At 42.9% G+C, this 24,310-nt stretch overlaps 2 protein-coding genes across 6 annotated transcripts in view, besides 3 other annotated features; both read right to left on the bottom strand.

The window, feature by feature from the left end:
- GNAL (G protein subunit alpha L) overlaps nt 1–24,310 on the bottom strand; it is a 196,422-nt gene that overhangs the window by 28,828 nt on the left and 143,284 nt on the right. The window contains exon 6 of one of the 5 annotated variants that reach the window (XM_006722324.4): nt 22,716–23,352. The exons of the other annotated variants lie outside the window; for them this stretch is intronic. Within the exon in view, the coding sequence (XP_006722387.1) occupies nt 23,352 (1 nt within the window). The 3' untranslated portion in view covers nt 22,716–23,351. Of the gene's footprint in view, nt 1–22,715; nt 23,353–24,310 lie in introns of those variants that run through there. 5 annotated transcript variants of the gene reach the window in all.
- Nucleotides 2,414–5,445, bottom strand: CHMP1B (charged multivesicular body protein 1B). The gene has a single exon (NM_020412.5). The coding sequence runs from the start codon at nt 5,344–5,346 to the stop codon at nt 4,747–4,749; it is 600 nt and encodes a 199-aa protein (NP_065145.2). The 5' UTR covers nt 5,347–5,445; the 3' UTR covers nt 2,414–4,746.
- Nucleotides 4,734–5,028: a silencer, noted in NCBI's record as "tiled region #95; K562 Repressive DNase unmatched - State 1:Tss". NCBI's record gives its function as "represses a minimal TATA promoter and a strong SV40 promoter by Sharpr-MPRA in K562 cells {active_cell/tissue: K562}" and the evidence as "EXISTENCE:reporter gene assay evidence [ECO:0000049][PMID:27701403]".
- Nucleotides 5,035–5,084: an enhancer, noted in NCBI's record as "active region_13096". NCBI's record gives its function as "activates an Ori minimal core promoter by ATAC-STARR-seq in GM12878 lymphoblastoid cells {active_cell/tissue: GM12878}" and the evidence as "EXISTENCE:reporter gene assay evidence [ECO:0000049][PMID:35858748]".
- Nucleotides 5,353–5,592: an enhancer, noted in NCBI's record as "active region_13095". NCBI's record gives its function as "activates an Ori minimal core promoter by ATAC-STARR-seq in GM12878 lymphoblastoid cells {active_cell/tissue: GM12878}" and the evidence as "EXISTENCE:reporter gene assay evidence [ECO:0000049][PMID:35858748]".

Genomic DNA, 24,310 nt, shown 5'->3' with positions numbered 1-24,310 from the left:
TGGGTTCAAGGGAGTCTCCTGTCTCAGCCTCCCGAAGTAGCTGGGATTACAGGTGTGCACCATCATGCCTGGCTAATTATTTTTTTGCATTTTTAGTAGAGACGGGGTTTCACCCTGTTGGCCAGGCTGGTCTCGAACTCCTGACCTCAGGTGATCTGCCCACCTCGGCCTCCCAAAGTGCTGGGATTACAGGTGTGAGCCACCACGCCCCACCTGTATTGTCATTTTGAGTAAACACTGCTGAATTGTTTGTCCTGGCATTTCTCAGCAGGGAGAGGATGTACAAACCCTGAAGAACAGAGGCAAACATTTCATTGTGGACAAATGCTGTGAAGGAAGAGGACACAGCTCTTGAGTGTCCATACTTGGGACTCTGTGCGCTTAGGGTGCCTGCTTTACCTGCCTGTCTGCTGTCATCAGAAAGCTCGAGGCACTATCAGGAGTGACCACCCAGGCCAGGCACACGTTTGCTATGCAGTGCAAGGAGCCCACTGTGGGAGGCACCACACCAGGCCCAGAGACTGACACTATGACAGACATTGCCTGGCCCGGGCTCCCTATGGAATTTGCAATCTAATGTAGAAAAACAAACCTAGGTAAACCAGACAGCATTTTGCTAATTCCAGTCAGTTGATTCAACACAAAAACAAAAACAGGGGTCTGCTCATCAGTTTCCTTAGTGTCCACTGGCTTGCAGCTTTTTGCTATAAAGATCTTGAGCTTTGGACTTTGGCTACAGAATTGCCAAGAGGATGTTGTGTTTTTGCAGAGGAAGTCCCTCCCTTCTGCTTTATAGTGTGCTTGGCCAGCTGATGCTGATACTATGCTCAGTTAATAAGGTTCTCTTATCAGACTGGTGCTTATTTTCAGCACTTTTTTTTTTTTGAGATGGAGTTTCGCTCTTGTTGCCCAGGCTGGAGTGCAATGGCGCGATCTCGGCTCACCGCAACCTCCACCTCCCGGGTTTAAGCAATTCTCCTGCCTCAGCCTCCCAAGTAGCTGGGATTACAGGCATGTGCCACCATGCCCGGCTAATTTTGTATTTTTAGTAGAGACGGGGTTTCTTCATGTTGGTCAGGCTGGTCTCGAACTTCCAACCTCAGATGATCTGCCTGCCTCGGCCTCCCAAAGTGTTGGGATTACAGGCGTGAGCCACTGCACCTGGCCCAGCAGTCTTTTCCAAATCAAAGACAGCAGGGCGGGCACACAGTGTCCAAACCTCATGGTCTGCCTGTATTTAAAAGGCATCTAGATACATTGGCATTCCTTCAGCAAGAAACAGCTTTAGTAAGAAAATTCCCCAGCAGCACACACAGTATCATCTGGGTTCCTGAACTGAAATAAACTAAAAGTAGAGGAAAGTATTTTGTGAATTAATCCAGTCTACCTTTTTTCTTTCAATCCTAAATCCATGTTAGAAATTGTGCACTTGAAGGCGGAAAAATGAAAGGAAGAAATATAACTAGTAGTTAAATGGAAGATTAACTAGTTAACTAGTTCCCTGATGTGTTTCAGTTGGATACTTTTGTAAATTATATCCATCTTTGGTGTAGGGAAGTTTCAATGTGAAAAAAAATCTTGTAGTTATGAAGAAACAATTACAGTGAAGAAGCCAGGGGACCGGGCGCGGTGGCTCACGCCTGTAATCCCAGCACTTTGGGAGGCCGAGGCAGGCGGATCACTTGAGGGTCAGGAGTCCGAGACAAGCCTGGCCAACATGGTGAAACCCCGACTCTACTAAAACAACAACAACAACAACAAAAACAAAAATTAGCCAGGTGTGTTGGTGCGCATCTGTAGTCCCAGCTACTCAGGGGGCTGAGGCAGGAGGATCGCTAGAACCTGGGAGGTGGAGGCAGCAGTGAGCCGAGATCGTGGTGGCACTTCAGCCTGGGCGACAGTGAGACTCCGTCTCAAAACAGCAACAACAAAAATAAGCCAGGGATCCTAGAAATATGCAAGAAAAAGCCATACTAACCAAACAAAAATTTAAGTGCTAAGACTGAGGGTGAATTTGGAAAAATATCATGCTTTCTGACCCAAATCTACCTCAGAATTTTTTTTTTTCCTTTTTTTGAGACTGAGTTTCATCCTTGTTGCGCAGGCTAGAGTGCAATGGCGCAATCTTGGCTCACCTCAACCTCCGCCTCCCAGGTTCAAGCAATTCTCCTGCCTCAGCCTCCTGAGTAGCTGAGATTACAGGTGTGCAGCACCACGCCCAGCTAATTTCATATTTTTAGTAGAGGCGGGGTTTCTCCATGTTGGTCAGGCTAGTCTCAAACTCCTGACCTCAGGTGATCTGCCCACCTCAGCCTCCCAAAGTGCTGGGATTACAGGCGTGAGCCACTGTGCCCCGCAATTCTTTTTTCTTAAGTGTTTTTTAAAACAGGATGCACACTCACATCCAATAACATGCAGTTTAAAATGATTTAATTGACAAATTCTTGTGATTTACATTTCAGTAATCAACTGCAAAAGTGAGGAAGTAATTCATGGGCCTGTAGTGCTTTTGAAAATAATATTTATGACTCATAAAAATGTACATTCATAATAGTATGACATGGACATATTTTAAGAAAGTTCAAGCATATACAAGCATTGTTTAATCTCACAAAATATATTAATTTTGTTGGGAATATGTGCATTATAAAAGGGTCTTTAGTTTACCAAAGGGTTCAACACTAAGCTATTTTTAAAGTTGTAATTATTTTTTCCAATCTAAAGAGGGGTTAAGGCCAGGTGCAGTGGCTCATGCCTGTAATCCCAGCACTTTGGGAGGCTGAGGTGGGCGGATCACCTGAGGTCAGGAGTTCAAGACCAGCCTGGCCAACATAGTGAAACCCTGTCTCTACTAAAAATACAAAAAAACTAGCTGGGCATGGTGGTGCACACCTGTAATTCCAGCTACTCGGCAGGCTGAGGCAGGAGAATCACTTGAACCCGGGAGGTGGAGGTTGCAGTGAGCAGAGATCGCGCCACAGCACTCCAGCCTGGGCAACAGAGCGAGACTCTGTCTCAAAAATAAAATAAAAGAGGGGTTAAGACTCATGCTGTCTTCACACATGGCCCTGCACAACCATGTGGAGGACAGGAGGGATATTCTTGAGAGATGCTGGGCAGACAACTAACAAGTGTCCCTTAAAGCACACTTCTGAACAATGTCCAGTCAAATATAAAATAACTTAAATATGAGGGTCACTCCTCATCTGCACGCACCTGTTACACTTTTTTTTTCCTTACTCATTTACACTGGGAAACATGTTATAATAGTGAATAGTTGGTTATGAATCTTTCAAAGAACTTGGAAGGGCCCCTATAATTATTTTCTGAAACAATGGAATTCTCTTATGGAAAAATCTTCCAGTGAAGGAAAGGGTAAGTTAAAAAAAACTTGAATTAACTTAGGTTAGCATGCTTGCCAAGGCAAAAGCAAGTTGCTTTTCTCCATGTTTCGAGGCTATGAGAAAGCGGTGGATACATGCTTTACTTTTCAGCCAGAAAATACGCACTGCCATTCCTGAGAAGATGGCAGGCAGCACAGCTGGGCTCTAGCCTTAAAGACTCAAGCTTTCTCCTTCCTTCCAGTCCTACCTCTTTACTTCTCAGATTTCCAGCTGGCTGGATGTATACATAAATGACTTGCATGGCTAAGTAAAACATTCCAGCTTATATTTTCAAGGATTTCCAAGAGTTCTTGCTTTTGGACAAATTAATAAATGCAAATTAGAACTTAAAACGCAGTTCTAATTTTATTTCTATTTTTGGTTGTTAAAATCAAAACAAAACCTACACACACACAGTCCTAGGGTTTTCTCAAACGAAATCAACAGTTCTTTGGCAATGTTAAGAGTGTGTAACATGACTGCCATGCTAATTAGCATAATTTATAAGACTTCTAATAGTGTTGAAACAGGAAAATAACTATAAACTTGTTAGAGAAGTTCGTTTGAAAGACACTGTCAAATGTCACACTAAGTCTTTTTAAAAACTCAATTTAGTAAGTAGAAAATATAAATGAACAAATTTAATTTTTCCAGATAATAAAGGAAGTTATTCGGCATTTTTCCCAGTTACGCAAAGACAATTATCACGTGAAAAATTTATAGAATGTAAGCAGTAAGAGAGTATTATGCAAAAATATCCTAAGGTAATTTCAGTATAAATTATAGGACCACATTTATTAATAATATACGTTATGAGAACAATCATTTGCAGTCTCACTGTGAAGGCAAAAAAAAAAAAAACAAAAACCAAAACCCAAAGGATAAACAGAAATAGCACAGTCCACCGAATACACTGCATGGTGTTTATAACTGTATAACCAAACTAAGTAATCTTTCCCCTCTCTTTAACTTTTATGCACCACCTGCCATTCTAGATACTATCAATCACACTAAATAATAATAAAAACCAACCACCTTCAATCTGATCATTCTGGGCAGGAAACTGAATACAGTTTTGACCAGATCTTCGAGAAAGATTCATATACACGAAATTAACTAGTTCTGTTAAAAGGCTGCTATAAAAATACCATCATTACGAGCTATACAGAACTTTAGAATCCAGCTAAGAGTGCAGAAATACTGAATTTCTTAATTTATGTGGAGGGGGCTGTAAACCCAAAGGTAGAAGGGCATTTCAGCATTCTGGCGTGTTCAGAGTTTCTAGGGTATAGTATCTCTCTAACACACAGAGAGCATTTCAAAGGGTGGCTATGGCCAGGAAACCTCAGAGCGGGTTCTGCCGTCACACTTGATCCCGAAGGCGGGCCAGTCTCTGAGACAGTTCATCCTGCTCCGCCGAAGCCACGCTCGTGCCCACGGAGCCGGTCTGGCCCTGCGGCAGCTCCATGTTGAGGTCGAGGCCCGCCTCATCTGCCATTTCCTGGAGCAGCATATCCACTTGGTTCTGGGGAGTGGTGAGCGTCGTCGTGCTGCTCATCGTGTCTTCCATTTGCTGCGTCTGGACGTCCAGAGTCTCAAACTGGTGCTCGAATTTGTCCATCAAAGCAGAAATCTTCTCCAGATTCATGGTCTTCAATGTCGCATCCATCGACTTAACCACACCAGCCATCGACTTGGTCACCTTGCCCATCGTCACCGCCGTCTGGACCCTGGCAGCCACTGCATCGACTCGCGCACTCATTCTCAAGAAATTCACCGCCTGGTTCTTCTGGCGGATGGCATTTTCGGCGTGTATCCTCGCAACTTCCATGTTGCCCTTCTGAATGGCCTTTTTAATTTTGGCCTTTTCGGCCTTTTCCTCCTTATCGCATTTTTTGGCACTCCTACTCAGTTCTTTGGCCGCGAACTTCAGGTTGAACAGGTGTTTCTCCATGTTAGACATAGTCGGACGGCTCCTTTGGGTCGGCGGCCCGGCTGAGAAGCGCGCCGAAGGCAGAGAAGGTAAGGTAAGTCCGCTCCCGGCCGCCGCTCCTTTGTTTTGGTCCCACTTCCTGTTTCTACTGTGAGCGGCGCAGGTGGTGACGTCAGAGCCCAGCGCCAAAGGCGGAGCCTGCGGGACGGAAGGCGCCGGGGTGGGGCCTGTGGGACGTAAGACGCCAGGGGCTGCGCATGCAGGGGGATTCTGGCTGGACGCTCCGGCGCTGCGGCGGGGAACGCTCGCTTCCTGCGCTGCGTTCTACCCGGTTTTTAAAATTCTAACGCATTAGTCAATTCACAAAAATTAGTGCCCCCACGCACTTTCCTAGTAATAAATCTACCGAAGTAGACAGGATCTGTGGAGACCCGCGTGTAAAATTACCCACGCTCCAAACTTGGCAGGCTTTATAAAGGGTGACTGGCTAGCGGGCTAAAAACCAGCCAAACATCAGCTAGGTCTTCGCACTAACGCTTGCTTTATTAGCATGGGTAATTTCCACTTTCTCAGGGGAACTGGAAACCATGGATACATTAAAAACAAAAACATTAAAACACATTAAAAACAAACGGGTCATTGACGCGTCTCCATCTTTGACTACAATTTGTGCTAGAGTTCTGTAATATCCTTTTATTGCATTGAGTGAAAATAATCTTCAAAACTGTGGCACCACCAAATTTATACTTTGTCTGGAAGTTCAGCTTCTAGGTGAGTTGCCAGCAATTATCCAAAAATCGTCCCGTGGTTTAGTAATAAAAAGACCCATCTTTTGCTGACACCATTCTGTCTTTTTGATGTTTTATAAATATCCAAGGAACTTCACTCACATTTAAGTTTGACAGGCTAAACTGTCATTTTAAATTATGCAGGCAGAGTATGTTGAGATATCAGGACCCACACCCACGGGCATACATCAAAACTGTCACTATGTATTACGCCCTTTAAAAATGCTGGCTTTCAAATGGCAGCAATGTGTGCTGTCACTTTTCTCTTTAGAAAGATTCCTCCGATACAGCAATAACAATGTGAGAAGACCAAATCTGCCCTAATGAGGTAGGCTGAAAATGAACTCTGAGAGCGAATTCTGTTTAGAGATCATTTTAATCTAGCAGCCTGCCACCTCGCTTAGCTTCCTGTGATAGCTTGCCAGTCAGTTTCACAACACAAGACCTTCTGAAGACATAGCTCTGATGTTTTCACTCTCTTGCTCCAAACCCCGGGCATGGAGGCTAAACCTGCTGTGCAGCATGCTGGCTCGTCTTTCGCGCCCCTCCACCTCCGCCAGTCAAAGCAAACCGCAGCATGGAATTTGAGCATTATTTGCGTCATTCGGCCAGCGGGGAGAATGTGACTGACGCCCGGTCCTGTGGCTATGCTGTTCCTGTTGCCTGGATTTTAGTGTCCATGCATCTCTGCCTATTGACACCCTGCCAGTCCTTCAAAAGCCACCTTCACCATGGAGCCTCCCCAGGACTCCTCCTCTGTGTGGCCATACTACAGGGCACATTGCCTGGCAAGGGGTCTGTGTGTATAGGTCACCTGTTACAGTGTGAACTACTTGGATGCAGACACTGATTCCTTCCCCTCTCCATGGAGCCCAGCAGGCGCTCTGCACACAGCAGCCACTGAATCCAGATGGCGTTGCTGAATTTAATTGTATTTCAGAGGGGATAGGATGTTACCCTAGTTAGCAGCTTAGCTATGGTTCCTTTTTGCCCCGCAAAGCAGTAGAACCCTTTTTCCAAATGAAACTTTTCTAGAAATGGAATATAAACAACCAAAAAAAAGGGGAAGAAATCTGTTCAAAGTGGATATAGAGAGCTTAGGCCCCCTACTCTGCTCACCCTCCATTCCACTCTTCCCTTCTTTTAGGTCCTGGTTTTTCTTGGAGTTTGCAAACAAGTTTCTTATCCAGCTTCCATGTCATGCTCCATAGTTTTCTTTTTTCTTTTCTTTCTTTTTTTTTTTTTTTTTTTTGAGATGAAATCTTGCTTTGTCACTCAGGCTGGAGTGCAGTAGTGTGATCTTGGCTCACTGCAGCCTCCCCCTTCTGGGTTCACGCGATTCTCCTGCCTCAGTCTCCCGAGTAGCTGAGATTACAGGCACACGCCAGCACTACCGGCTAATTTTTGTATTTTCAGTACAGCTGGGGTTTCGCCATGTTGGTCAGGCTGGCCTCGAACTCCTGACCTCAGTTGATCTGCCCACCTTGGCATTCCAAAGTGCTGGGATTATAGGCGTGGGCCACCGTGCCCAGCCCATAGTTTTCTTAATGACAAATTCTGACTAGGTGAGATGGTTTGGAATATAATCATGAGAGACTCCGATAGATGATGATGATAATGACAACTAACATTAATAAAGTACTTATGCACCAGACATTGTTCTGGGCACTTTACATAAATTAACTCATTTCAGCTTCGCAAACCCTATGAAGTAGATACTATAAATGTCTCCAGTTCACAGGTAATGAAAAGGAAGCACAGAGAGCTAAGAAACTTGCCTGAACCCACACATTAGGTAAGTGTTAGAAACCGGATTCCATGGATGTATTGGGACCAGTAATAAGGCAATGGGGAATCCAATGAACATGAATTAATAAGAATAAAATAATGATCATCATGTAGCCTAAAGAAAGAAGTTGACTTTCCAGCTGTTTTTTTGAGAAGACAGAGTTGCATTGACTGCAAAGTTAATATGAACTTTATAAAGTGTGGTTGTTGACTGGGCATGGTGGCTCAGGAATGTAATCCTAGCACTTTGGGGGGCTGAGGTGGGTGGATCGCTTGAGGCCAGGGGTTCAAGACCAGCCTGGCCAACATGGGGAAAGCCCGTCTCTACTAAAAATACAAAAATTAGCTGGGTGTGGTGGTGCATGCCTGTAATCCCAGCCACTTGGAAGGCTGAGACAGGAGAATCGCTTGAACTGGAAAGGTGGAGGTTGCAGTGAGCTGAGATCACGCCAGTGCACTACAGCCTGGGTGACAGAGAGAGACTCCTTCTCAAAAAAAAAAAAAGAAAAGAAAAAAAAAGAAAAAGTATGGTTGCTAAAAGAAGTTGCCATCACCTGAAGCTACATTCCTTGGATGATGACACCTCTACTTTCTGTGCTGGAGAGAAGGTATAGGTGGAGTTCCAGAAGCCATCTTCCCAGAGAGACCAGGGCTGACTAGAATTCTGAAGAGAAGGCTGTTCTCCTCCTCTCCCTGACAGTTCCCCAGCCCTGCCCTCTTCTTTCTCTTATCAACACCCCAGCCATTTCCACGGTGTTCAATAGGATCCATAGCTAACTGCTCTCATGTTCACATTTCCACGGAGAGATTTGCTTCTGAGCTCCAAACCCATATGCCCAGCTGTCTCCTTGGTGCTGGGCGCTCTGTGGCCCAAGACTGATTGGCAACTCCTCAAAGTGACTGAACTCAGTCCTTTCCCCCAAATCTGCTCATTCCCATTTACTACTGGCACCTCCATCTACCTTGTCATTCGAGTTGGATTTGGAAGAATTATCTCTGACCACCGTGGTATCTGAATCTGCATCTACCCTGGCTCTAAGTTTTTTCCATTCTTTATATTCCATTGAGGTTGACAACCTTCAGGGTCTGTTTCAGCTTGGTATGCTTTCTCTTTTTGTGTATCTAGCAAAAGGAAGATTATTTTGGGATTATTATTAAAGGAGGTTTTGGTCCTACAACCATGCTAATTGTACGTGAAAATGTTTTGGACCCAATACAGATGTGAAAACAGAACATACAGTTTATAATGACTGGAATTGTTTAGCAACTACCACGTTAACATTGAAACCTTGCAAGTCCCATAGCCAAATTTTCTTAGTGAAAAAAAAAGAAATTTTTGATTAAAGTGCAGACATTTCTAGAAAGCTGCGGGTCAAACCAGTTAATTATTTTTATCATGAAATGGGGAAGAAAAATATGCTATCATTTGGCACATCTGGCTGATTTCTTTCCTTACTTTGAAATAATACAAGTGGTTAAAATGAAAATATTTAAGCAGGACATTCAGTTTTACTTCACTGGAAAAGAATCATTTGCTAAGTCTGAAGTCACTCAAAAAAAAAAAAAAGAAAATAAAAGATGTGAAAAATAACTTTCTCTTGTGAGTTAAACTATTTCTGGATTCTCATCAGTATGTTTCTGGTGATTTTGAAATGTTATATCTCAAACTAAGGGCTCCTCCTACTTATCACAGTTTGCATTTTTTGCATATATTTGTGTTTGCTGAGCAGCAGGCTTTCCTATTAGGTGTGGCATGGTGACCTCTGGTTGACTACCTATACCTGGTACTATTCAACCTCTGGAAAACAGATACCCAATAAATTTCTGTTGAATGTAGGAATATATGAATGTAGCCAAAGGAAATGGCATTGGATACATATTCACTTGGTGACCATTTTGAGGAATACATTACATATATGTATATATATATTATACATTACATACATATATAATATTAATTTATTACACATGTATTAAATGTATGTATATATATATTTTCCTCTGCATCACCTTTTTATTTGGGAACACAGCTAGAATTAAAAACGCTGAGACTCCTCAAGCCTTGGGAAATTTCAAAGTCACTGTCCAGGGCTGGGTGTGATGGCCGATGCCTGTAATCACAACACTTTGGGAGGATGAGGCGGCCCAGGAGTTTGAGGTTGCAGTGGGCTATGATGGCCCCACTGCACTCCATTCGGGGTGACAGAACAAGATCCTGTCTCAAAAACAACAACAACAAAACAAAACCAAAGTCACTGTCCCTCAAAATATGTTAACAACAGCCTGGACAAGATGGCAAGACCCGGTCTCTACAAAAAATAAAAAATAAAAATTAGCTGGGCATGGTAGCATGTGCCTGTAGTCCCAGCTACTTGGGATGCTGAGGTGGGAGGATCTCTGTGTCCAGGAGTTCGAGACTACAATGAGCTATAATCATGCCACTGTATTCCAGCCTGGCTGACAGAGTGAGTCTGTGTGTGTGTGTGTGTGTGTGTGTGTGTATATTTATATATATATTTATATTTATATATTTATATATGTATTTATATATTTATATATAAAAAAATGATGTCGATTTAAAAATAAAAATAAGAAAGAGAAAGAAATAGAACAGCAGCATGTAAACAGAATTCTGCATTCCTCCATCTGCAGTTTAAATGCACGGTTTATTATTCCTCTTGGTGATGTGGTGAGTTAATACTGTTATGAGAAACCTAACTTCCATGTTAGTCGAAGTTGGCATTCACTCATTTAGCAACACAGTGATTCTCCTCCTCCTTCTTTACACTGAACAACTTACCACTTTGAGAAGCTGAAAATGAAATCTCAACACACCTGTCCCTCTAAGGCTGGTACGGGATGCCTCTCTTTTCTGGCCTCAATTTCCTCATTTATAAAGCTGGAAAAAATAAGGCCTATGATCTAACAGTGGGTAATAATCCCTCATCAGGTCAGATCACCAGAGAGGGCCACTCAAAACCGCTTAACTTAAAAAATCCCTGAAACAAGACTTACTAAGAGAAAAAAATGTATTATTTAAGTGGCGTTTTCCTGGCAGTTTGTATTGGATATTTGCAAATATTGTGAAGACCATATAGAGCTGACACAGCAAAACTGAGAAGGCTGACTGGGCCCCTTCTCTCTCTGTCTCTCTCCCCCTCTCCCTCCCTCTCTCTTTCTCTCTCTCTCTCTCTCTTTTCTCTTCCTTCCTTCCCTCTCTCCCTCCCTCCCTTCCTTCCTTTATTTCTTTCCTTCAGGGTGTCACTCTGTTACCCGGAGTGGCGCAAGCTACCTCTGCCTCAACTGGGCCCATTTCTCTCTGACTCCTCTAGTTGGAGAGCATTTTGTAGGAGGAAAATCTACTCCTTTGGTCAGGTTCCTACAAACTAACGTACAAACTCAAGCAATATGGCAGGGAACCAAACACGTGAAATATTGTTAGGTCTATGAAACACACGATATATTCCTCTTTCCAATCTGTGTTCTTATTATTTGTTAGCAGTCTTTATTATGCTACTTTTTTTTTTATTTTCAAGAAAAGTGCACTCTCCTGCACACAGCATTTTGCCATATCTCACAGCTGTCTGGTTGACTACTGGGAAACATAGTTTATTCTGAAAACATGCTTCTGGATGGAAAATGATTTTACTATTACAAACCTGAAGATAGAAGGACAGGATTGCGTCTGGCGTAATACGGTACAAATCCCACCTCTGAAGGAATATGGAAGCCAGTTGTTCTTACGTAATTTTTATGTTTAACCTGAACATTAAGCTTACAATCTATAAGTTAAAAATAGCGAGGCTGGGCGTGGTGGCTCACATCTGTAATCCCAGCACTTTGGGAGGCTGAGGTGGGCGGATCACAAGGTCAGGAGATTGAGACCAGCCTGGCTAACATGGTGAAACCCTGTCTTTACTAAAAATACAAAAATCAGCCGGGTGTGGTGGCACATGCCTGTAGTCCCAGCTACTTGGGAGGCTGAGGCAGGAGAACCGCTTGAACCCAGGAGGCGGAGGTTGCAGTGAGCCAAGATCACATCATTGCACTCCAGCCTGGGCAACAAGAGTGAAACTCCATCTCAAATAAAATAAAATAAAATAAATCAAAAAATAAATAAATAAAAAATAAAAATGGCGAATGTACAAATTGGCCAGTTAATTTTGTTGCACATTAAAATCTTCTCTCGTCCTCCTCGGGGAGCACCTTCTGTTCATGATGGGAACAGATTGTGAGAAGTCAGGAGCTCTTCCCAGGGCTAGTCTGCATTGAGTATTGGTAGATGGTGGTGGAGGGAAAAAGCATTTTTCTTCTTCACTGCTGTTCCCGGGGACATGTGTGTGCAGCTGACTCACTCGTACCCTTAATTGATGCTGTGATTGATCTGCCTTAGACCCAGCTTTTACTTAGCATCATGTCTCAATTAGATTAAGTTTAAGGCACAAGTGATTTAAAACGGCCATGGCCACAGAATGGAGAGCACTGGTTCCAGGAACCATGTATCCTGAGAACCTATTTATTTATTTATTTTGAGATAGAGTTTCGCTCTTGTCACCCAGGTTGGAGTGCAGTGGTGTGATCTCGGCTCACTGCAACCTCTGCTTCCCGGGTTCAAGCGATTCTCCTGCCTCAGCCTCCTGAGTAGCTGGGACTACAGGCGCCCGCCACCACGCCCAGCTAATTTTTGCATTTTTAGTAGAGACAGGGTTTCACTGTGTTGGCCAGGCTGGCCTCAAACTCCTGACCTCAGGTGATCTGCCTGCCTCGGCCTCTCAAAGTGCTGGGATTACAGGCGTGAGCCACTGTGCCCGGCCCTGAGAACCTTTCAATTTAAAATCCCTTCAATTCTAGTCTAACCCACACACTTCATGTAAAGTAAGGAGTCATTAGCCATTAGTGTCCATGGAAGGCTAATCTTGGCCATTTCTTTTCGTCAAGGAATAACTGTAATTAAACTTTTCGGCCAAAACATAAAGTTTTTTGTTTTTTTTTGAGATGGAGTTTCACTCCCGTTGCCCAGGCTGGAGTGCAATGGCACAATCTCGGCTCACTGAAACCTCTGCCTCCCAGGTTCAAGCGATTCTCCTGCCTCAGCCTCCCAAGTAGCTGGGATTACAGGCATGCACCACCATGCCCTGCTAATTTTGTATTTTTAGTAGAGATGGGGTTTATCCATGTTAGTCAGGCTGGTCTCAAACTCCCGACCTCAGGTGATCTGCCCACCTCGGCCTCCCAAAGTGCTGGGATTACAGGTGTGAGCCACTGTGCCTGGTGACATAACGATTTTGTTAGTTTAAGCTACTGTCTTTCGTTAGGAAGCAAAATGGTATTAGAAATCAAATATAACTTAACTTGGTGAGTCCTACTAGAAATAATTTATTTTTAACATCTCTTTATTTCTTTCCTTTTTTTCTTTTCTTCTTATCTATTTATTTATTTTTGAGACAGAGTCTTGCTCTGTCGCCCAGGCTGGAGTGCAGTGGTGCGATCTCAGCTCACTGCAACCTCCACCTCCCTGCTTCAAGTGATTATCCTGCCTCAGCCTCCTGAGTAGCTGGGATTACAGGTGTGCACCACCACTCTCCGCTAATTTTTGTATTTTTAGTAGTAAAAAATTTTACATATTTTCTATTTTTAGTAGGTGAAACCATATTGGTCAGGCTGGTCTTGAATTCCTGACCTCAGGTGATCCACCCACCTTGGCCTCCCAAAGTGCTAGGATTACAGGCGTGAGCCACCACACCCAGCCCCTTTTTTCTTTTTTTTTTTAGCGACAGGGTCTTGCTTTGTTGTTCAGCTGCAGTACAGTGGCACAATCATAGTCCAATGTAGCCTCAAACTCCTGGGCTCAAGGGATCTTTTCACCTTGGCCTCCCAACATGTTGAGATTACAGGCATGAGCCACTGTGCCTGGCCTTAACATCTCTTTAGAATGTGAAAAATCCTCTAACAAAGCAGAATACTTATCACTTTTGTACCTTTATAATGTACCATAATAGCATTCAGTTTCTTCTGAAACAGTCAACACCCTAAAGTCACTCAACAGTGAAACAGTCAACAATCAAATAGTCAACAGTTGAAAGAAGGCCAAAGATGAATGTTTTTAAAAGAAGTGCTAACTTTACAATGAGTATGAACTAAGTCAGGGGTCTCCAAACCCTAGGCCACATTCTCATGCTGTGTGAACCAGGCCACACAGCAGGAGGTGAGTGCCAGCCAGCAAGCAAAACGTCATCTGTATTTACAGCTGTTCCCCATCAATCGCATTACCACTTGAGCTCCACCTCCTGTCATATCAGCGATGGCATTAGATTCTCATAGGAGCACGAACCCTATTGTAAACTTTGCATGTGAGGGATCTAGGTTGCATGCTCCTTATGAGAATCGAATGCCTGATGATCTGTCACTGTCTCCCATCACCCCCAGATGGGACCATCTAGTTGCAGGAAAACAAGCTCAGGGGTCCCACTGATTCTACATTATGGTGAGTTATATAATTATTTCATTATATATTACAACGTAATCGTAATAGAAGAGCACAGTAAACGTAATGCACTGGATTCATCTTGAAACCATCCACCCCACCACGGTCCATGGAAAAATAGTTTTCCACGAAACCAGTCCCTGGTGCCAAAAAGGCTGGGGGCCGCTACACCAAGTCATTAGATATAAGATATCTGAACTAGGCCGAGCGCGGTGGCTCATGCCTGTAATCCCAGCAATTTGGGAGGCCAAGGCAGGTGTATCACCTGAGGTCGGGAATTCGAGACCAGCCTGACCAACATGGAGAAACCCTGTCTCTACTAAAAAAAAAACATATACAAAATTAACTGGGCATGATAGCACATGCCTGTAATCCCAGCTACTCGGGAGGCTGAGGCAGGAGAATTGCTTGAACCCGGGAGGCGAAGGTTGAGGTGAGTCGAGATTGCACCATTGCACTTCAGCCTGGGCAACAACAGCGAAACTCCGTCTCAAAAAAAAAAAAAATCTGAACTAAAATATAACATATGTTTTCTTTCGTTATTTGATGGAGTTGGGCTACAATCTTCCAGTTCATACGTATATTCCACAAACATTTACTGAGTTTCAGGCTAGAGAATGAACAGTATGGGGGATAGGTAAGTAATTCCCTATGCAAACCTGATGCATTTGTAACATTCCATAAAGCAGAGGTTTTTATCTTCCCCAGAATTTCTTCTCATGGAAGGATCCCCGCAGTTGGGAAGCAGAGGTGCTCACAGAGCTTCCTCCATAAATCTGATGAATGAGGAATTCTAGCAGGTATTTCTTTCTTTCTTTCTTTTTTTTTTTTTTTTTTGAGACAGACCCTTACTCTGTTGCCCAGGCTGAAGTGCAGTGGCAGGATATTGGCTCACTGCAACCTCTGCCTCCCAGGTTCAAGCGATTCTCCTGCCTTAGCCTCCAGAGTAGCTGGGATTACAGCATGCGTCACCATGCCCGACTAATTTTTGTATTTTTAGTAAAGGCAGGGTTTCACCATTTTGGCCAGGCTGGTCTTGAACTCCTGACCCCAGGTGATCTGCCCAACTTGGCCTCCGAAAGTGCTGGGATTATAGGCCACCGTGCCCGGCCCTAGCAGGTATATCTTTTCCGGGAACCACAAAGCTGTCTTCAAATAATCATGATTAACCTTGCCCTAAATATAATAAATTGTAGCTGTGACTGCCATCTGAAAAACAATACTTCATAGTAAATCTTAACATATTTGTAGGAGACAGTGTATTTTAAGATTAGTTTAGGGGTTAAAAGAGAATTGAAAGCTGATGAAGGCTGGGTGCGGTGGTTCATGCCTGTAATCCTAACACTTTGGGAGGCCGAGGTGGGCAGGTTGCTTGAGCCCAGGAGTTCAAGACCAGCCTGGGCAACACGGCGAAACCTCGTCTCTACTAAAAATACAAAAAATTAGCTGGGCATCGTGGTGCACATCTGTGATCTTGGCTATTCAGGTGGCTGAGGTGGGAGGTCACTTGAGCCTGGGAGGTCCAGGCCGCAGTGAGCTGTGATCGTAGCACTGACTCCAGTCTGGGCGACAGAGTGAGACTGTGTCTCAAAAAAAAAAAAAAAAAGAAAAGAAAAAGCAAATTCCTCAATGTCATTTACGTGAACTAAATCAAAGAAAGAAGGACAAAGTGCATTCAACATGGCTCTTGCTCACTGGAGGCCTCCGGGTGCTTCCTCTTCTCTGCAGCTATGACTGTGTACATTGACTGAATCTGTCACAGCATTCCCGAATACGTCCACCAGGTCTCCTGTAGATCATTCCAGGGAAGAACGCTAACTATGAGAAGCACGTGGTCAACAAAGGGTAACAAAGGGAAGTCTGAGGACTCCTAGATAAAGAGCTTTCTCAGAGGGGGTGCCCCAGATACCAAACACACAGATTTGCTCAGGTCACACTATGTTTCAAAGGAAGAGCTGGAATGAGAAACTGACCTTTGCATCAGTGTTCACCTCTGCTGAGTCTCCTATTTTAAAAGAGATCTGGGATGTCATTAAACATGTTCAATTGAGGTTAATAAAAAATTTCCTTTTTTGGCAAAACGATCTGTTAAGTCTTGTCTATCTTAGAAGATATATTTAGTCACTGCATGTATCCTGGCAGAAAGTCATGGCAAAGCAGTTTCTTTCTTAGCAATGACTACCTGCCTCAGTAGCTGGATAAGGAATCTTTCATTCTTTCTTCACAGAAATAATGCAGAGCACTGCATTTTCACAAATATCGAATAGAATGAGAAATACGAGCATCCCATGCACTTAATTGTTGTCACATGAATAAAATTGTAAGTAAATGGAAATTCTATTTGTGTGGAGAGTTCCTTAAGTCAGTTAATAGAATAATGCCATAGTTCAAAGGTAGCTTTTGTTGATATCATGGATCCTAGTTATTATGTGATCAAGGGAGTTTGGTGAAATAAAGATATTTAATTCTAACCGCTAATGCATGCACTACCCTAAGAAAGGTTTTACTTTCTTCCTTTTTTGAATGCTTTCTTTGATATGAAATTATCAAAGAGCAGCTTCCTTATACCTTAAGTTCTATTTGAAAAGCTTTCATTACATTCCTTGATATTGTGAACACATTATTATTGTTCACTGGGACGAAGGAAGTGCTCACACAATGCACGATTACAGCTTTCGCTTTTCTCTGAGCTAGAACGCTTGTGCTCTAAAGGAGGCTGTGCTGTAGCACAGTTCAGCTCCTCATTCCTTTTTGCGGTGGAATCATATTCCATTGTAGGGATACACCACATTTTGTTTATCCATTTGTCAGCTGATGACACTTGGGTTGTTTCCACTTTTTGCCCAATTGTGAATAATGCTGCTATGAAGAGATATTATGCTTACGTCTATCTGAGCTTTAAAGAAAAAAAATTTTTTTTTTTTTTTTTGAGGCAAGGTCTTGCTCTGCCACCCAGGCTGGAGTGCAGTGACTTGATCATGGCTTACTGCAGCCTCAAACTCTAGACTCAAGCAATCCTCCCGCTTTCACCATATCAAGGAGCTGGGACCACAGGTGCACACCACCATGGCCCAGCTAATTTTTTTTTTTTTTTACTTTTAGTAGAGATGAGGTCTCGCCAAGATGCCCAGGCTGCTCTCAAACTCCTAGGCTCAAGTGATCCTCCTGCCTTGGCCTCCCAAAGTGTTGAGATTACAGGCGTGAGCCACTGTACCCAGCCAAAAATTAATTTTGTATACATAGGAATACTGGGCTATGAATGGTAGAGAGAGCAGAAAAAGAACAGTGATAACACAAAAATCTATTCATGTAACAAGTTTATTAAACACCTATTATATGCCAGGCATTGTTCTAGGCACAGTGGTACACAATAATTTCATGTCAGTTAGCCCATCATAATGAACAGTTTACAAAATTTGGTTAGATTTAGTTGTTCATTCATGTGGTTCAACTATTGAAAGGAATGAAGTAGTGATATATGCTATAACATCTCATATTTATATGTTACTGTGTCACGCACTGCATGGAGAAGAACAACTCCAAATCCTATGGAAACAACTTAGAAATTACCTGCCAATTTCCACAAAGATAGTCTTTTAGAAGAGATTTTTAAGACATATTTTCAGTATGGGTACTGTATTTTGAATCAGTATTTTTTGCTTTTCTATTTCATTTCTTCCGCCTTTCTCTCTTAAACTGATTTTTAAAAAGACAAAGTAAGTACATGAACAATCTGAAATGCTATGGATCTCATACCGCATCCTCTCAGAAGCATCCCCACACTGTCACCATGCGTGGCACATGGATGAAACATAATGCATCTTACCCACTTGGTATTAAATCAGAAGGCCCTGAAATTAGGCAGACTCGAATGATCAGGAGTCTCCAAATTAATTTTACTGAAGTGTCCAAGTAAAGCTCTCACAAGCCAGTTGCAACAGGGAGTCTTGATTAAGATGCACAATTCAATGACTTTTTTGTTGTATATTCAAAGTTGTGCAACCATCAATCACTTTTAGAACATTTTCATCACTCCAAGAGGAAACTCTGTACACATTAAAGCGATTCCTCATCCCCCAAGTCCACCTGGCTCCATGCAACATTCGTCTACTCTGTCTCTGTAGATACACCTATTCTGGACATTTCATATAAATGAAATGATACCATATGTGGTCTTTTGTGTCTGGTGGCTTTGACTTAGCATAATGTTTTCAAGGATCATCCATGTTGTAGCATGCATCAGGACTTCATTTCTTTTTGTAACTGAATAACATTCTATCGTGTGGATGCGTCACATTTTGTTTATCCACTCATCGGCTGATGGGCATTTGGGTCGTTAACGCTTTTTTTTGAGACTGGGTCTCATTTTGTCACCTAGGCTGGAGTGCAGTGATGCAATCTTGGCTCACTGAAGCCTCGACCTCCTGGGCTCAAGCAATCCTCCCGCCTCGGCCCCCCAAGTAGCTGGGACTACCAGTGCGCATCACCATGCCTGGATAATTTTTCGTAAGAAGGGATTTCACCATGTTGCCAAGGCTGGTCTCAAACTCCTGAGCTCAAGTGATCCACTCACCTTGGCCTCCAAAGTGCTGGGATTACAGGTGTGAGCCACCATGCCCAGCCTGTTTACACATTTTGATTATTATGAATAATGCTGCTATGAGTATTTGCCTAGAAGTTTTTGCATGGATGTATATTTTCAATTCTCTTGGACATACACTTGGGAGTGGAATTGGTGGGCCATATGGCAACTGTGTTTAACGTTTTTTAGAACTACCAGTTTGTTTTCCAAAGTGGCTGGACTATTTTACATTCCCACCAGCAGTATATGAGGATCCCAATTTCTTCACATCCTCAGCAACACTTGTTTTATCTGACTTTTTAGGCACAGCCACCCTAGGGTTATGAAGTGGAATGTCACTGTGGTTTTGCTTTGCATTTTCCTAACAGCTAAAGATGTTTAGCATCTTTTCGTGGCTGATTAGCCATTCATCTATCTTACTTGGGAGATGTCTATTTAGATCCTTTGCTGATTTAAAAATCGGTTTACTTATGTTATTATTGATTTGTAAGAGTTCTTTATGATTCTAGATACAAGTCCTTTATCAGATGCATGATTTATAAACATTTTCCCCCTTCTATGAGCTTGTTTTTTCACTTTCTTGAATCATAAGGACCTCTATATGTACATCAAAAGCTATCCTGGGCTGAGTGTGGTGGTTCACGCCTGTAATCCCAGCACTTTGGGAGGCCGAGGTGGGCCAGGAGTTCGAGACCAGCCTGCCCAACATGGTGAAACGCCAGCACTACTAAAAATACAAAAATTAACTGGGCGTGGTGGCATGTCTAAAAATACAAAAATTAACTGGGCGTGGTGGCATGTGCCTGTAATCCCAGTTACTCAGCAGGCTGAGGCAGGAGAATAGCTTGAACCCAGGAGGTGGAGGTTTCAGTGAGCCAAAACTGTGCCACTGCACTCCAGCCTGGGTGACAGAGCGAGACTCCATCTCAAGAAAAAGCTATCCTGGCTTTCATTGGAAAACTAGGTTCAAGATATGAAGTGGATGGAGATGTGAAGTTGATGACAGTTCCTTCAGAATCTGAGAAAAAGGATGTCCCTGAGGCAATCTCCTTCAAATGCATAGGTCCATGCCTCATTCATCTTTGTCATTCAGTGGCTGGCAGTGTCTAGCATGCATCTGATGCTCACAGAATGCTTGGTGAACTTTTAATCTAAAGTAGTCTCTCATAATCTTTAGGTTTAAAATTTGAAATCCTGGATCAATCAAGTAATAGTTGGTATTGTGTAGTCTTATGTAATCTTATGTGCCTTTATATCCTCATCTGCAAAATAAAGATAATGAACTCATTGGGTTAGTGTGAGGATTACTATGTTAGTTCATCTAATGTGCATAAAATGTGCCTCCACAGGGCAAGTTTCAATAAATATGAGCTATCTTACAGCTACACTTGGGTACTAAGCAATACAGAGCACACACCTCTTTATTATTATTATTTATTATTATTATTTTTTGAGATAAGAGTTTTGCTCTTGTTGCCCAGGCTGGAGTGCAATGGTGTGATCTCGGCTCACCACAACCTCCGCCTCCCAGGTCCAAGTGATTCTCCTGTCTCAGCCTCCTGAGTAGCTGGGATTACAGACATGCGCCACCATGCCCAGCTAATTTTGTATTTTTAATAGAGACAGGGTTTCTCTATGTTGGTCAGGCTGGTCGCGACCTCCCAACCTCAGGGGATCCGCCCACCTCGGCCTCCCAAAGTGCTGGGATTTTACAGGCATAAGCCACTACAGCCGGCCTATTAGTATTATTTTTTGCGACAGGGCCTCACCCTGTCACTTAAGCTGGAGTGCAGTGGCATGATCATTACTCACTGCAGCCTTGACTCCTGGGCTAAAGTAATCCTCCCAACTCAGCCTCTGGAGTAGCTGGGACTACAGGTGTGTGGCACTATGCCCAGCTAATTTTTAAAAATTATTTGTAGAGACGAGGTCTCAACATGTTACCCAGGCTGGTCTCAAACTTTTGGACTCAAGCAGTACTCCTGCCTTGGCCTCCCAAAGTGCTGGGATTACAGATGTGAGCCACCTCGCCTGGTGGGACGCACGTCTTAAATAATTCTGAAACTGTACCTTTATTAATAGTAGTACAGTACTTAGTTGTTTTCCCTGAGTTCCCTGGATTCCTTGGAAGTGTTTCAAAGAATTCAGCAAACAAAAGTATTGTGATAAAACCTGACACACACGTCTTACATTTCACACTGTAATTTGTAGGGTACTGTCAATTTATTAACCTGTGCTACTATGTAATTTATTTTTCTGTAAGCTTCTGATCACAGCTTTACATATACATATTTTTCTTTATTCCCCCTACATTTTATTATAAAAATTTCAAACATAAAATAAATTAGAAATAATTTTGTAGTGAACACTTGAATACCTACTATTTAGATTCTGACATTTTCGTTTTACTGTACTTTTAGGCTTTTTTTTTTCTTTTTAGAGACAGGTTCTTGCTACATTGCCTAGGCTGGCCTTGAACTCCTAGGCTCGAGTGAACCTCCTGCCTCAGTCTCCTGAGTAGCTGAAATTACAGGCAAACACCACTGTGCCCAGCTTCATTTTATTGTACTTAAAAAAAAAATCACAGATCTATCCATGTATCCATTCCTCAACCCATCTTATTTTTGATGTATTTCAAAAAAAGGGAAGACAGCAGTACACTCCCTCTGAAATACTGCAGCTCACAGAATGTTATCTAAGAATCAATATTTCTTCATGGCTTTTTCTTTCAATGTAAAATGCATGTCCAATGAAACAGAAATCTTAAGTGTATATCTGCTGAGTTTTGAAAAATGCATCTATCTGTGTAGCTCAAATTCCCATAAAAATATTATGCACATATTTTCAACTTCTTTCAAATGTGTTGTTTGGAAGGAGGTTCTGGTCATTTTTGTAGACAATGCAGCACCTGTTGAATAGTCTTACGGTAGAAGCGAGTCCCTAAGAGGCACAGAGGATGCACACCCTGCTTTGCCCAAGGCCACTTGAGCTGGGGCTCACCTGCAGGGCCCAAGCTCTCCTCACAGAGCAACTGCCATGTTCTCACAGGGGACAACGTAACCCATAACCCAACGCTATAAATATAACGTTTATCAGATGTCACATTTGTGTTAAAGAATGTGAAGAGCTGTTAGAGACTGTTAAGAATTCAACTTGGAACAAAATTTCTTTCTTTGTTTTTTGAGACAGAGTCTCACTCTGTTGTCCTGGCTGGAATGCAGTGGCACAGTCTTGGCTCACTGTAGCCTCAAACTCCAAGGCTCCAGCAATCCTCCTGTCTCAGCCACCCAAGTAGCTGGGACTACAGGTACACACCACCCCACTTAGCTAATTTTTGGGGGTATTTTTTTTTTTGTAGACACTAGAGACCCAGGCTGGTCTTGAACTCCTGGGCTCAAGCAATCCTCCCACCTTGGCCTCCCAAAGTGCTGGAATTACAGGCGTGAGCCACTGTGCCCAGCCAGAAGAAAATTTCTTATGATTCTCCTTTTCACATTTCTACATCATTTAACTTAAAATGTTTCTTGTAATTACAAGGCAACCTTAACAAAAGACCCCATTTTTGCTACCATTTGCAACAACTCATCTGCATATGTCAGGATGTTCCCACACGCCCCTCCCTAGCAGGAATAAGCTGGATGTTGAGTCCAGCGAAAAACTCAACCGTCATCTAAGACCACTGAATTCCAATTTTGTTCTTATCAATATAGCCATAGAGATCTTTAGGTTTGTTTATAATAAGTAAATGTTACAAATGTGAATATGTAAACTAAATTTTACTTTATTAAATTTTCACTTTGGTTTCATATATTTATTTTAATAAAATACCACTTTGCTTTGGCATTGGCTATAAATTGCATTTGGTTCTGCTGGTATGAATTTTGAAAACGGGCACTAGTTTTTAAACCGCACCCCGGGGAGCCTCACATTTGGAGGCAACAGAGGGGCCACACAGCAGCAGGCAGAAGCGAATACAAGGGCTCCGGCTCCTCACCAGGGGACTTGTCTTCTCCCTCTTTGCTAGTGGCATTCCATACAGTTCCGTGTGACGAAGCGTTCCATTTCTAAGAAATACTGAAAAATCCAGCTCTAAGGCATCAAAAATGTGATTTTTGTTTTATAGTTTGAAGGTCCTGATTTTCACGCCATGATTGGAGATTCCTGTGATGTATGTGCTGGGCAGAGAGGCCAGGCCCTGAAGGCCATCCTGTTCCAGGCATCCTTTCTGTATAGGAAGTCTGAGGGTTACGTTAGATAAGGAATGGGAAGCCACTGCAGTTCTCCACCCAAGTAAGTAGATTTTCTGAGATATTTTAAAAACAGGTTTTACACACAAAAACATTTGTGGTAATCCCACTAAAAATTTTCTTCTGGATGTCTCAGGGCAAGGGTTTCTAGAGGAGAATAAAAGAAACATGTAACAGGGGCTGATGGCCACACACAGAGACATCTGGTCTACCTACCTAGTCCCTGCTGCTACATTTATTTTTCATAGCTAAAGTAAATGTTATTGTAGTGCTCATAAACAGGAACATTTCCAATTTTGCAGCTCTAGAAAACAAATCTGAGAGGCGGGGCACAGTGGTTCATGCCTGTAATCCCAGCACTTTGGGAGCCAAGGTGGGGAGAACACTTGGGTCAGGAGTTCGAGACCAGCCTGGCCAATATTGTGAAACCTCATCTCTACTAAAAATACAAAAATTAGCCAGGAGTGGTGGCGGGCCCCTGTAATTCCAGCTACTAGGGAGGCTGAGGTGGGAGAATCTCTTGAACCTGGGAGGCTGAGGTTGCAGTGAGTGGAGATCGCGCCACTGCACTCCAGCCTGGGTGACAGAATGACTCGAAAAAAAAAAAATCTGAAAATAAATTTGGCTAGAGATAGAGATCAAAATGAGAGGTAAGAAGAATATGTACATGCATCTAGGTGGCTGCTATATATTTAATAAGTTCAACAGTATATACAGTAATATGCATAATTTAAAATTATAGTTCCTTTCATCTCATTTTTTAAAATTTTTATTTATTTATTTATTTATTTTGAGATGGAGTTTCACTCTTGTCACCCAGACTGGAGTGCAATGGCGTGGTCTCGGCTCACTGAAACCTCTGCCTCCCGGGTTCAAGCAATTCTCCTGCCTCAGCCTCCCGAGTAGCTGGGATTAAAGGCGCGTGCACCACCATGCCCGGCTAATTTCTGCAATTTTAGTAGAGATGGGGTTTCACCACGTTGGCCAGGCTGGTCTCAAACTCCTGACCTCAGGTGATTAGCCCACCTCGGCCTCCCAAAGTGCTGGGATTACGGGTGTGAGCCACCGCGCCAGGTCAATTCCTTTCATTTTAAAATGACCTTCA

Source organism: Homo sapiens, chromosome 18 (assembly GCF_000001405.40).
Source record: "Homo sapiens chromosome 18, GRCh38.p14 Primary Assembly".
Lineage (NCBI taxonomy): Eukaryota > Metazoa > Chordata > Mammalia > Primates > Hominidae > Homo > Homo sapiens.
The sequence above is the reverse complement of the archived record's forward strand: the minus strand, read 5'-3'. Positions and strand labels throughout refer to the sequence as shown.